Source organism: Homo sapiens, chromosome 13 (assembly GCF_000001405.40).
Source record: "Homo sapiens chromosome 13, GRCh38.p14 Primary Assembly".
Lineage (NCBI taxonomy): Eukaryota > Metazoa > Chordata > Mammalia > Primates > Hominidae > Homo > Homo sapiens.
In genome coordinates this window covers 66,583,685-66,601,407 of record NC_000013.11, presented here as the reverse complement: position 1 = coordinate 66,601,407, position 17,723 = coordinate 66,583,685, and the positions used below count along the sequence as shown (strand labels likewise).

Below are 17,723 nucleotides of genomic sequence, written 5' to 3'. Positions count from 1 at the left end.
CTTGTACCATATATAAGTAGCCAATGTAATTCTCTAGCAAAAATTATCCAGAGGGGTGTGTGTGTTTGTATTTTAAATAATAGAGCAAAGTACATTTTAAGAAGATTTATAGAAGGCATTTTAAAAAACTAAACATTATTTTTAAAGAGAAAAGCACTGATATCTTTTTGCTAGAAATATCTTTCAAAATAATTTCTTTAAGTTGTGGGAAAAAAATCTAGATGTTATTAGATCTAGCCCATAGCTATAGTCTAAAGAATAGGATCCTCTGTGAATTATATGCTGTATGAATAAAATAGTAACCTGAATCATAAAGACATTTCAAATATAAATTGATGTTTTCTCATAGCCTGACTTCATAGAAGTGTACAAATGAATCCCAGGTGTGCCCCTGGGAAATATTTATTTATGAAAACCAATGGAAATGAAATGATACACTCTCTCCCCCTCCTTGTAATTTTATAGTAATTAAGAATAAAAACATTAAAAAATTTAAGGTTAAGTGTTCTCAAGCAAATTAGAGTGTTCCCTGGGACTTGTGTGTAATTTGCCTTTATGCATAAATCTAGGGGAAAAAACAATTATAACATGATATAAAATTAACTCCCTTACACACACACACACACACACACACACACACACGTTCTTAATTAGTTCATCCAAAATGTTATTATACATTCATTTTTATGAATACATAAGAAAGAGTTCAGCCATAAACTGTGATGTTGACATCCATGCCAATATCCATAATTACTGTTAATAAAATATAAAGCACAAAACAGATATGACAATATAATACTTCAGTTGTGCAGGATATGCAACAGACACAATTCCTAAGTGCTGGTATGAGGCAATTAAATCATGCACTTATGCAAAATGTTAGGGAAAAAAATTATAATTACAGAATTGCTTGATGTACTTTTAGTTTGTATTATGTTTTGTCAGCTTATTAGAAACACAAGAAAAACAGTCAATGAAAATAATACTAGCAGAGTAAAATAGCATTTTTTGTTTTCTAGAAAAAATATAGTTGAAAATTGGATAATATCAACTGTGAGACAATTCCTCAGTAGACTTCGTGGTTCTAAAATACGTTGTTTTGAATTGTCTTACAATGAATTCTGCAGCTATGGTTCTGATCATGAATTTTTACATTTGATGTTGAATATTACAGAATTCAAATCACTTTGGAAGCCTACACAGTATTTTTAATAGTTAGTTCTTGGTCTGTTTGTCTAATAAACTCATTAGAAGTAGATGCAGGGGGAGATATTTAATTCTATTTCCGGAATGCATATTCCATTCATTCATTTGTGCTTTTATTAATTCAAAATTTACTGACAGCTTATATGTGACTGAGAAGGAAATATCAATGAAATATGGTCTCAAATTGACAAGTGCCATAATAAAGGTAATATGCCATTTGCAAGCATAATATCCTATCAGTCAAGAAGATCATCATTATTAAACATTTAAAATGAGACCCAATTCTGAAATCTCCCATAATAAAATTATGAGAAAATTATATTAGGGACAAAATCAATCGTAGAAAACTTTGAAGTTCTTAAAGTTTTGTGTCTGGCATTACTTTCCTCTAGTAGATATAGTCTAAACTGAGAGCATTTAAACAATTAAAAAGAGTACAATCTCAGCACTTTTTGAAGCTGAGGCAGGCAGTAGTCTCAACTACTCGGGAGGCTGAGGCTGAGGTGAGGCTGAGTATGGATACACTGTACTAATCAAAGCTATTTCAATTTAACCTGAGCCTGGGAGGTCAAGGCTGCAGTGAGTTGTGATTGTGCCACTGCACTCTAGCCTGGGTGAGAGAGTAAAACCCTCTCTCAAAAAAAAAAAATTAATTAAAAATATAGTACATGATTTAAATAGTTGTTAATTGATGTATAATGTAATTAAATAATTTTTAGAAAGTAAAAACAGTTGCAAATATAAACTAAACATTAACATTTCAGGTAATAACTTTTAATATTTGACAAATGCTCTACAAGTAACCTATTAAGTGATATCCTAAATCTTTAGGGATTTTAAATATTTCTCAATCAGGATTTTAAATATATCTGGTTTTTTACATTCAAAATCTCTTCAATTAAAACAAATACATATTACATTTCCACAGCAAAGAAAAAAAATTTCTTTTTAAAGGATGCTCATGCAATTGTATTTCACAACTACATGAAGTAGTAAAATATACAGCTCAATTTATATTATGAACAATTAGTAAAAATAACACTAAATGAAAATAAAATGCATATATATTCTGTATATTAACATAACTTTTAAAATAAAATATTTCTAAATGTTCATAAAGCTTGCTTTACAAAAAAGGAAATAACTCTAAATTTCTAGTTAGATGTAAAAAAAATTACTTGATTTTAAATTATTCACTAGAAGTAATTGTTACAAGGGCAGCTCTAAGGAAAGCTAGTATTCTCCTAATTATATGCTACTTTGATTATCACTGTGTTTTCTTTAGAGCAGTTTTACGGATACACTGTACTAATCAAAGCTATTTCAATTTAACAATATAAGGTAAATAATTGCAAGGCCAAATATATGAGCTCATTCTCTCCTGTTCCTGATGAGATTCTTAGGAGGCATTTATACAAGATCTGTTAGTTTTCCCTTTTCCCTTAAAACACATATTAAATTTATGAATACACCCCTAGTTGTTTAAGCTAGCACAAATTTAAGCAAGCACAAAATTTTGCATGTTTAGATTAATTAAATCATTAAGCCAGTAGTTGCTATGCTGCAAATATCCATTTGGCCCTGTTGAATTTATTATCTAATATCTGTGGGCACTGATTAGCAGTTTTGCTCTTTATTAAACTAAACTTGTTGCATAAATCAAGGCCCTAAAACACTTATCATGGTTGTTCCCTGAGCCATTTTTAAGCTTTCTGACTCAAATACTTCATTTAGTTAAAAAAAGATAAACATGTATTAATTTCTTAAGCATAATCTTAAATATAAACTGTTACAATATTTGAACAATTCTCTATCAACTTGTCTTTTGTTTCTGTGTATCCTCTATATTTACTTTTCCATTTAATGTAAAGGTAACAAAACAAAACAAGAAAAAAATTAGGTTATCTTTAGAATAGCCATGTTCTAAATATTGCTTCCAAATCTTAAATTCAATTTTTCTGGATAGATACCCAGAAGTGAGATTGTTGGGTCATATTACAGTTCTATTTTAAATTTGCAGAGGAACTCCATACCATTTTCTGTAGTGGTCACGCCATTTTGCATTCCCACCAACAGTGTAAAAAGGTTCTAATTTCTCCACATTGTTGCCAACACTTGTTATTTTCAGGGGATTTCTTTTTTAAAATAATGACCATCCTGACAGGTGAGGAGTGATATCTTGTTGTGGTTTTGATTTCCATTTCTCTGACAATTAGTGATGTTAGGCATGTTTTATATGTCTGTTGGCCATTTGTATGCATCTTTGTTTTTTTTTGGAGAAGTGTCTATTCAAGACTTTTTCCCATTTTTTAAATTTGTTACTGAGTTGAATAAGTTCCTTATATATTTTGGATTTCAATCTCTTATCAGATATATGGTTTGCGAATATTTTCTCCCATTCCATAGGTTGGCTTCTGTCTCTGGTGATTGTTTCCTTTGCTGCAACAGATGCCTTTTAGTTTGTTGTAGTCTCACTTCTCTATTTTTGTTTTGTTGCCTATGCTTTTGGTGTCATATCCAGGAAACTACTGCCAAGAACGATGTTATAAAGGCTTTCCTCCATGTTTTCATCTAGGAGTTTTATGGTTTCGGGTCTTGTTGTTGAGTCTTTACTCCATCTTGAGTTGATGTTTGTGTATGATGTGGGATAGGGGTCTGATTTCATTCTTTTGCATGTGGATGTCCAGTCTTCCCAGCACCATTTGTTGAAGGGACTATCCTTTCCCCATTGTGTCGTCTTGGCAACCTCTTGAAGATCATTTGACTGTATATACGTGAGTTTATTTCTGGGCTCTTCATTCTGTTCCATTGGTCCATATGTCTGTCTTTATGCCAGTACCATCCTGTTTTGATTAGTGTAGCTTTGTAGCTTATTTTGAAGTCAGGAATATAAAGCTTCTACTTTGAAGGTCCTTTGTGGTACCTTATTAATTATTGGATTTTTTTCCATTTCTGTAAATAAATGTCATTGAGAGTTTGAAATGGATTGCTCTGGGTCTGCAGATCACTTTGGGTAGTGTGGATATTTTTAACAATATTGAGTCTTCTAACCCATGAACATGGGATGTCTATCCATTGACTAGTTCTTTATTTTTAAAGACATAGATGGTCAGCTGACTAATGTCAAAGATGACAATGAATTATAATGAGAAAAGGTTTATTGATTTTTTTCAGAAAATGATACTAAGTCAATTGGATATCCATGTGGATAAAATGAAATATGACCCCTACCTAACGCTATACATAGAAAGTACTTTCCAGATGGGTGGTAACTCTAAATGAGAAAGGTACAACAATAAACTTTTTAGAATAAAAAAAAAAAAAGAATAGCCATGTTCTGCTACAGCACAAGCTACAGCACAAACAACTCAAGCCATGTTTTTTTTTTTGTATTATAAAAGAGGTTAATTGGGGAAAAATGAATGAAAAAAAATTTCCAGTAAGGCAATGAATAATTACAAAGTATATATGAGAATTACATCATATAGATTTCAAATATTTCTGAAATTTTTGATCATTTGACATATTATGGTTAAGCTAAAACAATGATCCAGTGATAGAGAACTTTCTTGTCACGTTCTCGTATTTGATGCATCCATTTAATTATGTTGGTCACATGTAAAATTTTAAAAAGAAAGATTTCAAATAGCAAATGTCTAGCAATATGTGTAACATATAGAAGAAATGAAAATATAATGCATCTGTTTGAAATTTACACATATATGGGTGTATATATGTACATGCATTCTTATATACTTGTGTGAATATGCATTTATATGCACACAAGCTTACATGGAATCATCTTATTTTAATCTCTGGATTTTATTTTTTAAATGTGAAAATTCTTCTAAAACAAATGGACACTGTTCAATTTGATTATGTATTCATTAAAGAATCATTTGTTGGGAAATGAGACAGAGAACAGATAAGTTTAATGAAGGCCTGTAATAACAATTTTTCTCTGTCTGGACAAAACAGTATGTAATATTAATCATTTGTTGTGCATGAAATAAAATAAATCCCTACAGAACATGGAAGACAATTTTTCATTCCTTAGTTACCTTCAATATTGGATCAAAATGATGTGATTTTCTTTTGAATCATGGGAATCTAATATATTCTGGTTTTGTTTGTAATGATTTATCACAAATTATTGTTAAATGATCTTATTGATTAAAAATGAATATTTCTTAATGTTTATTAATGCAGTCTTTGACCTTGTGCATTTCATATACAATTCTATGCATTTTTAAAATCCTATTCTGCTAGAAGATTATGCTAAATTTTACGTTTATTTTGAAAGGTCATAGTCTTTCTCTTTTCGCTTACTTTACGCTGGTGTTTATCTGCTAAGAATCTTACAATCTTTTCAGGGTTTATATTTATTCATTTTTATCTACAGAAGCAATAATTCCTATACGTTAATATATTGTATGCAGAATGTGATTACCAATGACTATTCATAAGTCTACTTTATTCCACTACTAATAAAAAAGTTAACGTATTTTTTCTCAGTGCAAATATCCTGAATTCTTGGTTTCTGGCTACTTTTGTCATTATTGAGAGATTACAATTATAAACAATCTTCTAACAAATCAGAAATCCTCTTCATAAAGGCAATAGAGGAAGAAAACACATATAATTGAATAAGCCTTAAATTAGAATGTGATGCTCATGATAAGCCATCCACTAAGAGACTGCAAACACAGAAAGAAATCTCACCCCTTTATATAACCAAGCATATACAATGCATTATACCCATGTTTTCAAGATAAACAATAATTAGTCCTCAATTAAGAAAACTTGACAGGACCATTTGTCACACATAGTTCAACATAACTTCTCCTGGCAATTGGGGTGATCATGTGTGTTGGTTAATTGGATTTTGTCCAGAAGATAAACACACTACTCATATCTTTATGACAGGAGGTAGGTTTGCAAATTGGAGCAAGGTTCCCACAAAAGTTAGGCTCCTACCTTCCCACAGAAAGTGGAAAAAAAAATGCTTTCTCTCTTGATGTGTTTACATTTCAAAGAGATGTTCCCAGGTTCTTGAGAAAGACATCCCTGAGCCATTAAGCTGACAGAAGGCCTATCTCCAGAGGCCTATATAGTTTTCAAAAAAATGTGTGTGTTTGTGTGTGTGTGTGCACTTATTTTAGAGAGGGAAAAGAAAAAGGACTTAGGATTTTAAGTTTTTTTTTTTTTTTTGAGTAAATGCTCTAAGAAAAAGAAGGGGAGGAGTAGCTCTTCCGTTACTTTCAACATTAAGCCTCTTATTTGTCATTTTAATTTGTCCTTAAAAGATCAAAGCTGCAATCATTTATTTAATCAACACTGTGGAATACTATGCAGCCATAAAAAGGAACAAGATTATGTCCTTTGCAGGGACATGGATGAAGCTGGAAGCCATTATCCTCTGCAAACTAATGCGGGAACAGAAAACCAAACACTACATGTTCTCATTTATAAGTTGGAGCTGAACAATGAGAACACAACAGGGAGGGGAACAACACACACTGGGACCTGATGGAGGAGGGTGGGGAGAGCATTAGGAAAAATAGCTGATGCATTCTGGGCTTAATATCTAGGTGATGGGTTGACAGGTGTAGCAAACCACCATGGCACATGTTTACCTTTTTAACAAACCTGTACATCTTGCACATGTACCCCAGAACTTAAAATAAAATAAAATAAAATAAAATAAAATAAAATAAAATAAAATAAAATAAACAAAAAGTAACCTGATGTTACCTTAATTTTGGCTATCATAGTCAATTATAATCTGGGCTCATCAATATTTTTATATTCAAAACCTGTTTATTTTTCTTAAAGTAAGACATTGGAGTGGTAGTTGCACGTTTCTTTCACAGAAATTTTCCATCTGGATGATTTTTCACAGGGCCATGGCTGGAGGTTTTCTTTGCTTTTTGCCTTTGATTCGAAAGATGATGTTCAAATGTTGTGGCTGGCTAAATAGAATACTGTTCTCCTGAAAATGTTATGGATATTTTTTCATCTCTGTGCCCTCATATAACACATTTCTTAGTCATATTATTCTGACTTCAAAAAATATTCTGTCCCAATGCATCACTTCTAAATTAGCTTAACTTTAGTGAAGCTCTATTTCCAAATAGATATTTTGTGTAGTCCTGTGGTATGTTGTATTAAAAAACAGTAACTGTGTCACTTATGCCATATCACGTGTTGTCCAAAACACCACTATTCCTGAAAAAAAACTAATGATTAAAGACTATAAAAAAACTTTATATATAATAATATTAACCTCTTCATGCTCCAAATTCTGATGAGTACTATCTACATATTCTACAGATGTGTAGAAGAATTTGATGTCATGTTGAAGAAAATTATTAACAAAGTACAACAAATTACAAATCACAAATCAATTTCATCCTTTGAAAAATTATTTATTCTCTTTGGTTTTCAAATACAAACATATATTTAAAAATAAAACAAAAGCAAAGATTTTCCCCTTCCTGCTTCAAAAAGAATGTTTTCCACAGATATTTGTAATTAGACTATTAACTAATGCTTTTGAGGTACTGGAGAAATAGATTTTCTGGCTCTATGACCATTGTCAAAAATTTTTCTCCTATAAGAAAAACCACGAGGTATTTTAATGTTTTCTGCTTCTTACAAATGATTTTTATATACAGAATAATATATACTCAGTCATAAAGCAACATCACTTACAAATATGGTGGCATCTTTATTCAGCTTTAGACTACTGTATCCACATGAAAACCACTTTCTAGGGGAAGAATATATAATTATAGAAAATCTATTCCATATCTGCTTTTCCTGAATTTATTTTTAAAAATTCATATATCAATTCATTGCATTCCATGTCTTCCAGCCATATCATGATAATTTGTTTCTGATACAACAGTGAAAATCTAGCTCTGATTAATTCAACACCATTAAAATTGCCTTGCAAAATGACAATAGTCCTCCGAAGATGTTCTTCAATCAGGCATCTATACGTAAACATTGGATGCGTATAAGCACTGCATCTAATCATATACCAAAAATGTACCATGAAATTTTATCAGCTCTTAACAAATATTTCCAAATTTAGATAAAATTACAGAACCATTGATAGAGATTTAAGGATTCATTGTCTACCATATTCTTCAGATTGTATCTTTCCTTGGGCCTTTGTTGTTGCTGTCATCCTTAACCTTCAGGTGGAGTGGAAAATAAATGTCCAAATAATGCTTATTTTGTATTTAAGATCATAGAAAATCAACTATATGAAAATGTTATTTTCAGTTTTAAATTTTTCCTCTGACATTAAATTATATCTATCCTAAACATTTCACTTACTAAACATTTTCACGTAAAGTAATCTTAACCCCTGAAGAAACAACTATTGTTATAACTTCTTTTATTCTGGTCATTTTCTCCTTGTTCTGTTCTTTTGAACTGTTTGATTGTCACTTTCCTACACTAATATTACAGAGAGTTAATCTGCATTTGCCTTACAATAGACAACATAGATAAAATGAGAAAAGGTTCAAACAAACCAGTTATAGTAAAAAACACATGTATCTGGAATAAAACACTATAAAATCCTCAATTCATGGAATGTTTCTTCTACACTTGATTTTTAGAAGAGAAAAATCACAGAAAATAAAGGTAAACGCGATTGTTTTTGAGAAGCACTGTATATTCCTGCTGTCAATGTAGATTAAGTTAATTTCTTTTGCTTTTAATGTCTTGAGCCAAAGATATATCAAATTTCAGTAGTACTGCACTCTGAAAAGTTCTGAACCATCAATTAACTATTAAATATTGAGGCAGGAAAGCATGAAATAGAATATTTTAGACCCTTTCTTCCTTTCTTCCCCCCATCATTGGAAGCTTGATACTGATCTCTGAGTTAACAAGGGCAGGGGATTGATCATGTATCCTGCCCAGAATTCTAGTTAACCGAAATTGTGTTCTATTTTTTTGTTGTTGTTTTGTTGAACACAAAGCACTGCTTGGTTGATTGAACCTTGCCTTTTCTTAATGATGAATTTAGTCCAATCACTTTCAGGTTATAAAAAAGGCCTCTATCTTATTGTATTTATTTGTATTTCATTATATTGATAAGTACTACTACAGAGAGGCTCACATCACATTTATACCCCCTGAAAGTCTCTCTGGGTGATGTAGAATTCATTAAATAGTTGACCTCACATAAGCAGCAGATGTTTTCAATTTTCTTTCTTTCTTGTCATATTTTCAGTGGATACTTTTCTATCAAGATTAATCATGAGAACACACTTTGTTTACTTGTAATGTTATAATGTAATGTTTAAATTATGCAGATAATTTAATATTCTAAATTATTTTATCATCTTGTTTTCCTTGCAGAATGAGCCCCCCCTCCCAACCTGCAACACTTTATATTAAGATAACTAAACTCTTAGAATTTTATACTATTTCAGTATTTTAAATCCTATAAGCATTGCAGAGGTTTTTTTTAATGGCTTATTCAAAATTCATTGTTGTCAGATAATTACAAATTAAAATATGTTCTAGGCCAATTGTTATTCTGTCTGAGTCAACTCATCTTTCCTTGAAGCTTAAATCATAGCTGATCATTACTTGTTACATGCTAATTGATTTCTGTTTAATTTGGCTGCTTTCTGTATTGCAGTAAATCACACTACTTGATAAGACTCCTAAAGTGAGATTTTTGCTCTTAGCTTTTTTTTTTGTTTTTTTTTTAGATAGTTACCATCTATGTGTAAATTTTGGTTTATATTGGCTTTATTTTCCATACTGCTATACCTTTAATGTGATTTATCTTAAGATAAATGCAGTATTAGAAAAATCCAGATTTGAATGAGAAATATATTTTATTTAGATCATGTATTTACAAAATATTGGCATGAAAACAGCTGCATAAAGTGTATGAGATTCTGTGTAAACCAATATATCACTGGTTTATTATGTGCAAAACAATAAACTAGGTCTAATATCAAAATTATTCAAAGACAAAAATTGAATTATGAATTGATGCCTCCTTTGGGACATAAATACAAAATTCCCATAGAACGTTTTAACTGAAACAAATATAGAAAACAAACTTCTGTTTTGTTATTATAGACTAACATTAACTTGAAACATTAAATAATAAAGAAGTGAAGTACATATTTTTAAACATCAAGTAAAGATTGTCTAGAGTCTTGTTGTAATTCTATATTTCTTTTAAAATCATATTTTTACAGAACCACATGTTTTGGGTTTATTTGGATACTGATATTTAAAAGAAAGAAAACTTTGTGTTAAATTATATATGCTATTGTTATATATTTAATGAAAGAAGAGAATAAATCAATATGAGGATGTAAATGGAGAAATAGAGCTATATATAAAGAAAATACAAATTTTTTAAGTCTAGGGAGTTAAAGACGTGCACTTACTCTTTTGTACTTAGTTTTAGGATTTCTGAGTGTGAGCTAGAAAAGTGAATTTTAAGAAACATTGTTTTCAACCTATACTATACCTGTGCAATAAATATCAAAAGCAAACACTGAGAACAAGTTTCAACAAACAGTGTTATGTTACAATTAGCTTAACTTCCAGTCATTTTCTGAAAATGGTAAACACAGATTAGATCTATATTTCCTTGAAAGGACCTTCATTCCCTGCTAAATAGCATGTGGATTTTTTGTCCCAGAAAGTTATTATTTTATATGCAGAATCTAATTTTCATTTGGTTGTGTACCAACCAATTCATAGTTTAACATGAACTTAGATAACTTTGAAAAAGACTTTGTCTCATGTTTATTATATTTAATATATTTAGAATATTAGTTGGAGTTATTAATCATGTTAAGAGCTTTTTATAAACTTAAGAATTTCTTATCAAAGCCTCAATATGAACATTATCTCATGGTACTTAAATTGTCACTCTGGAATACAATTGCCATCAATTTTGTTTGGTTGATTCGTTAGTTTAAATCATACTAACCTATATAAATGCATAAAAATAGGAAACCTTAAAACAACATGAAACAAATTTACATGATATCTATGGGAACAGACTGAGAATTAATTTTGTTAGGGTTCTCCGTATTTTTCCCATTAGATGATGAAACTTTGTGTGCACAAAATCCATAACACTCTGCTTTTATTTTGGCCAATAAGGCAGCCAATTGGTTCATGACATGACATAATATATTGGATTCTGCCTTCTCATTAAATCATACTTTTAAAAAATTATACTTTTATAGAACCACATGGAATAATTTGAATACTAATATTTAAAAGAAAAAATTTCTTCTTATTAATATCTGTGTGAAATTTCTGCAATCACAATCTCACCAGATATAAAGTTATTTCATTTAACTATAATATGTATTCTCAAACTCTTAATTTCTTAAATTAGAGGACTTTTCAATCAACTGCAGTATTATTTGGAATATAAAACAGCTGTTATAGTTGAAAATAGGATAAGAGAGCCAGAGTTCAGCCTGTTGCCCACCCTGGAAGGATTCATCGCTGCTCCCACATCACCAGCATCCCTACCTCTCCAAATAACTCCCAGGCACTTAGGAGCCTTGAGGGAATCAATGGAACTCTGGTTTTCAAGTTATGCCATCTTATATGACTATCCCATATAGCTATTTTGTAATTAATATTTTAATATTCATGAGATTCCGCTCTATACTTTCTAATTGCATTTTATTTTCTTTACTGATCCACAATAATTGTGTATATTTACTGAGTACAGGGCAAGGTTTTGCTACATATAAAATAGAATGATCAGATCGGGGTAATTAGCATATTCATCATCATAAATATATCCTCCTTCAAGCTATATTAAACTAAATCATGTATTTTTGTTACCTATAGTCATCGTAAGGTGGTATCAAACACTAGTATTAATTCCTTCTATCTAGCTGACAATTTCGTTGTAATTGAAGAGCTCTCAGAGATGATTGCTTTCTTTCAAGTACAGTGGCTCTTTCTAATCTGTAAATATAAGCATGATTAGAAGTTATGTAGGTACGGAAACATTTTATTTATAAGGCATACATACAGTAACTCTTCAATTAGTTGGGTTTAAAGAATAGGACATATTTAATTTTCTTTTGGAACTAGTTGAGAGATAACCAACGACTAAAGCAACATTTTGGCTTAGGTAAAAGGGAACATTTTATATAACATATACATCTGAAAACAACAAAAGTCAAAGGGAAAATGGGAAATCCTTCAGAAATATTGATTACTAAGGAACTTAAAACTTCACTTTTTTCTGTTCTTTTTTTGTAAAAAAATGAAATTTTTAAAAAGTTCTCGTAATAATGGAGTTGTAATTCCCCTGAAAAAATGGAATTTTTATCTGTAGTTTTTTTTTTTAACTTCAACACACTGCATTAGAACCCCAAGCCATGCAATTACATGGCATATATCATACTGTCAGCTATATTGCATTTCATGAATTATCTTCAAGAAAAGAACTTGTTTAACAGCTCTAAATGTAATCCTCAGGAATTTTATCCTGAATGCCTTTCTCCAGTGAACATAGAAATGAATGACAAGGTATAATAGATTGTAGGGAAAAAAAATTATTTAGAAATTTCCTTGTGCACTGATTTTAATTTTATGTAAATTTTCAAAAGTTTAAACATATGAAGTGTGCATATATATGTGTGTGTGTGTATATACATACATATATATATATATATATGACGTTCTCTCCTTTGAGTGCAAAATAAAATAAAAAGTAATAACAGTAAAAAGCCGATGGGCAAAAATTGATTCATAAATGAGATGGTGGCATTCATCTCAACGCTCTTATTGGAAACCTAAATCTCAGTAAATTTGTAGCCTAAGGATACAATGGTCTTAAAGGATTTCTGTCTCTGAAGAAAAATTAGAAGGCCTTTGAGGTAAGGTAAATGGAAAAGGTTGTTTGGGTAAATCTGGAGCTCTAGCACTATTAAATGTTAAGCACCATCAGGGGGTATCTCCGTCATTAACAAGAGTGGCATGTAGGAGATTGTTTCAAGCAGGAGAAAAATTATAGATGTCTATGTGAAGGTGGCCCAATGCCACAGGGAAATTCTGTCAAGCTAGAAATGATTTTTTACAAAGTTATTGTAAAGAAAAAGTGAAGAGGTTATGGTCAGTTTTTCTCTTCCTTTACCCAGTCTCCCAGAATATCAAAGAACAAGATAGCTGCAAGAGGGAGGGAGCAGCAGAGATATCTTAGAGGTGAGCGACATTCAACCAAAAGCATGAGGTCCACTAAAGATGTGAAAGTTCATGAATTATTATCCTCTACCTGTTTAGCATTCTTGATTCTTTGGGCAATATTTTATTTGGTTTGAAAGTTTGTTTCATGAATGATTTTATAATCTCCAAAACTTTCTTTTTTTTTTTTTTAATAATCCTGCAAGTTCACTTCTGTTGTATTGCTGAACCATTCATTCCCATGAAAAAAGATCATTTAGGAAGTGATTCAGGAAGTCTACCTCTGACGATCTTAGAAACCTGAACCCCACATACACACAGAGTACTGTATTTTCAGGAAGCTACTTTCACATAGCACTAGGCCATCCATCTGCCAATTCTGATAAATAACTGGGGTTGAGAGCTCTGAAAACAGACATTGATGTTCTCCTAGCTGGAAGCATGTAGTGATGACAGCAGCTAAATAAATTTCATGGTTACTGAAGGTGGTTTACCTTTAGAGTGCTAACACAACATTGCCTTCAGATTTTCCTTATATAATTGCTCAGAAGATGGTAGCTAATGAAGATGAGATCTAAGATCTTTTTTTTTCTATTTAATATGATGTTCTTTTTGTTTGTATGTTTGTGTCAACCAAAGACTTGATTTATACCATAGTCTTTTTGTTTTGTTTTGTTTTGTTTTGTTTGAGACAGGGTCTCACTCTGTTTCCCACAGTGGAGTACAGTGGTCCAATCATGTCTCACTGTAGCCTCAACCCTGTGGGCTCAAGGGATCCTCTTACTTCAGTCTCCTGAGTAGTTGGGACTAGAGTTTTTTGCCACCATGCCCAGCTAATTTTCAAATATTTTTTGTAGAGACAAGGTCTCACTATGTTGCCCAGGCTCGTCTGGAACTCATGGGCTCAAGTGATCTTCTTGCTTTGGCCTCCTAAAGTGCTGGTATTACCGTGCCCAGCTGACGGGTGCCGTACTCGCAGTGATAATATATTAATTTTATTTTCATTTTTCCTGCTAATAAGTTACATTCATATGGTCAGGGAATTAGTAGTGTTTCAGTCAATAAAATCTACTTACTTTTACAACAACAAAAGTGTTGATACTCATGATGAGATGAGAGGTTGTTTAAAATCTATTTTTAGAAATAACAGATTATGTTAACCAGGAACTTTGAATTTATTTCCACGTTTGCCACCTAAAATTTTAAGTCATGAGCATATTGTGTAATAATAGTATTACAGTAGGGTTTTTTGATGTGTCAGTAGTTTGCAACTCCTCTTGTCTAGTGGTGAAATATATTTCACCACACAATCTATCTAGGAGTGTCATTTCCCTTCCTCGGGCCAATTATGTGTTAACAAATGTGGTGTCAGCAGAGGTTTGAAAAGTGTTTTTACATTGGATTTTGCTCTGTTTGTTGCTGTGAACCTTGAGACTTCTGTACCAAGCAGCCTGGGCTAGCCTCCTGGAGGAAGAGCGCCCCAACCATTCTAGCCATAACAGCTGAGCCCAGATCTCATCTGATCTTGCTGCAAAGGCAAATAGGTGCACACTTAGATCTTTTCTCAGGAATGCATATAATGTCACATCATTACTTTCTTCAAAAAACCATTGCTTGGATTGAAAATTAGAATCAATTAAAATAAACAATCTATAATTAATTTCTAAATTTTAAATTTTATTTAATGTATCTCTCTCTCTATGTGTGCATCTATTATATAGCATTACTTTGGATCACTGATTATTTTGTTTTGCAAATATTGTGTCATTAATCTGTCATTATGCTGATACTTTCCCTACTTTTAATTTATTTATACTCATTTCTCCCTGAATCTATTGAATAATCTAAATAAAGCTATTAAGCCATCATTTAGTTAACAAGGGTATCCTCTCACTCTCAGTTGTGAATGCTTTCCCTTGCTCCTGTCTCATAGCTAGAACTTTTAAATAAGGTCTTTGTTTGATGTGGGTTGAAATGGAGCAAGCTTATCTCACAGAGATATAATGTGCTAACCCAATAGTCTTGACCCAAGATAAATCACTCATTTAATGGGCTCTGCTTGAAATGCAGAGGGTTGACCACAAAAGACCACTTTTTGTCTCTTTGTCTTAGGTCAAAACTGAAACTGAATTTGTTGGTCATATATTCTTATTCTAAGATCATTTGTTCACCTCTGCACACCGCAATACAGTCCAATGTAATTGCTAGTCCTTTAAAAGAGAAGAAAAGAAAGAAAGAAAGAAAAAGACCAGTGTCATCACAGGCCACTCCTGAGGTTCTCTGACAGAATAAGTGAGGTTATCATCAAGTTTTCTGCCTAGTGTTAGTGTCATTAGATTTTCATTTTATGACAATGCAACTATTTTTAAGATAAAATAATGAATACTGGGGAATGCGTTAAGGGATCTGATTGCTGAAATATTTTTTAAGTTCTTAAATGAAGAGATATAATATTTTTAAAGCAACATATTTTACTTTAAAAAAATAGATTGATAAGGCAAGAAGGAGACTTGATGAATCTCACTTATTCAGGAGGTTTGCTCAGGAATGCAGAGATAAGAATCTGTTAAAAATAAGGGGAGATATACCTTTACATTAATTTTAATTGCGTCAGATTTTTTGGGGGGGATGGTAAAGGTACTAGCTATATTGAAAAACTACCTAACTAGTTTCAATTTCTCACAGATAATCAAAACTTTATATAGTACAAAGAGAATTTTCTATTTTTATGTGTCTCATACAGGAAATAAAAATTCTCTTCAGAAAAATAATGCATATATGCATTTAATAAAATAAATAAATGCATGCACCACAGGTCACATGCCTATGATATCTTAACAGCACTTTCTTACCATCAAATTTCCTACTCAATATTTTGTAGTTCTTGGTGCACTCTCTGAATATGAACCCCCATACCTCAGTCCCTCAAATTTCTAATTCTATCCTACCCCCTACCCCCAATCATATGCCTTTGTTTTTCTAATCATATGCCTTTCTACAAACAATTTTCTGTAACTGGGATGACCGTATCACTTTCCTTACATAACAGATTTTTTTAAATCTACATTTTAAATACCACCTTCTTTTCGCACTGTTCTTTGCTTATTGCTAGTTTCAATTAAACTCTTCACCTCATATTCTTAAGATAGGTGCTTCTTAGCACTTAAAAAACTGCCTCCCATTTCCATCGTGAGCCTCTACAGGCCAGTAACTATATTTCATTCCTTCCTCTATCAACTACCATTCCTTGTATATATTTGGAGTTAAATAAATGCTGTTTGAATTACTAGTCACATATTTTGACAGGCTTTAATATGATGAAGACTACTGTAAAAGTATTTAAATTATATTTTTCCAGAGTTCGAAATGATCTAGAAAAATATATATTTGGGTTTAAATAAATGTTATAGCGGCATAATGAATCCATTGATCTTGAAGTAACTGAAACTTAAATGAATCACTTATTTAAGGATTGCACGGTGACAATATCTAATGTTTATCGACTTTGTTCAATATTTTAGCAACTTTAGGAAACTTGTAAGCAAAATAAAATGCCTAGGTTGTTGTTAGCAGTAATATTTAGTGTCAATCTTGGAATTGGTGCTTTTGTGAGAAATTCTGTACTCAATGATTAATTCTGTACTCAAAAATCATTCCGTTGAGTATATATTTTATTCGGATTGCTTTGAGATATTGCACTGTGATTCAGTGCGTTCTATTAATATGATATAAAACTTGTAAGATATAGATCATAAAGTGAGGGTATCCCTTTTCCTTAACCACAAGTTTCTACTGTATCTAATAACCGAATCACAATCCTTTGATAAACTAAAAAATTAGCCAGATGTTTTTAGTTCCTTGCAAAGCCATTGACTCAAATCAAACACAACACAACATACTACCTGACTGGGTTCTCTCAAACAATCAAAGTGTCTGCAATGGGTTTGGATGTAATCTTACTTGTGAGGCGTAGGTTTTGGGCTTTTTACATGAGAGAAAACATACACAAAGCAGGAAAGGCCAAATTATAGTTTGACTATGTAAATGGTAACATCAGCTCACAACATCTGTATAACCTACATGTAGTGAGCTGCAGATTAAAAAAATGATAATGATAGTATTTCTGTTGGCCACCATTTTAAACTCTTGGAACAGTTAGCAAGAAGTTATATTTCTCTGTTCCATAAAATGAAGAAACAAAAAATCTTCTTACAAAAATTATGTTTGTTTCACAGTGGAAGTAGCATTCTTACGCTTTTCCGTGGAGTATTTCTTACCTAAACAGCATAATTTCTTGCTAA

At 31.6% G+C, this 17,723-nt stretch overlaps 1 protein-coding gene and 1 long non-coding RNA gene across 9 annotated transcripts in view; one reads left to right on the top strand and one right to left on the bottom strand.

Moving 5' to 3' along the window:
• PCDH9 (protocadherin 9) overlaps positions 1-17,723 on the top strand; it is a 927,503-nt gene that overhangs the window by 628,929 nt on the left and 280,851 nt on the right. The window lies entirely within an intron of this gene.
• Positions 1-17,723, bottom strand: part of LOC105370247 (uncharacterized) — a 99,761-nt gene that overhangs the window by 58,738 nt on the left and 23,300 nt on the right. For 2 of the 4 annotated variants that reach the window (XR_001750076.2, XR_007063816.1), the window contains one exon: positions 12,002-12,198. The exons of 1 other annotated variant lie outside the window; for it this stretch is intronic. This is a non-coding gene — a long non-coding RNA (uncharacterized LOC105370247). Of the gene's footprint in view, positions 1-7,116; positions 7,199-12,001; positions 12,199-17,723 lie in introns of those variants that run through there. One more of the 4 variants, XR_007063817.1, reaches the window with a different exon arrangement.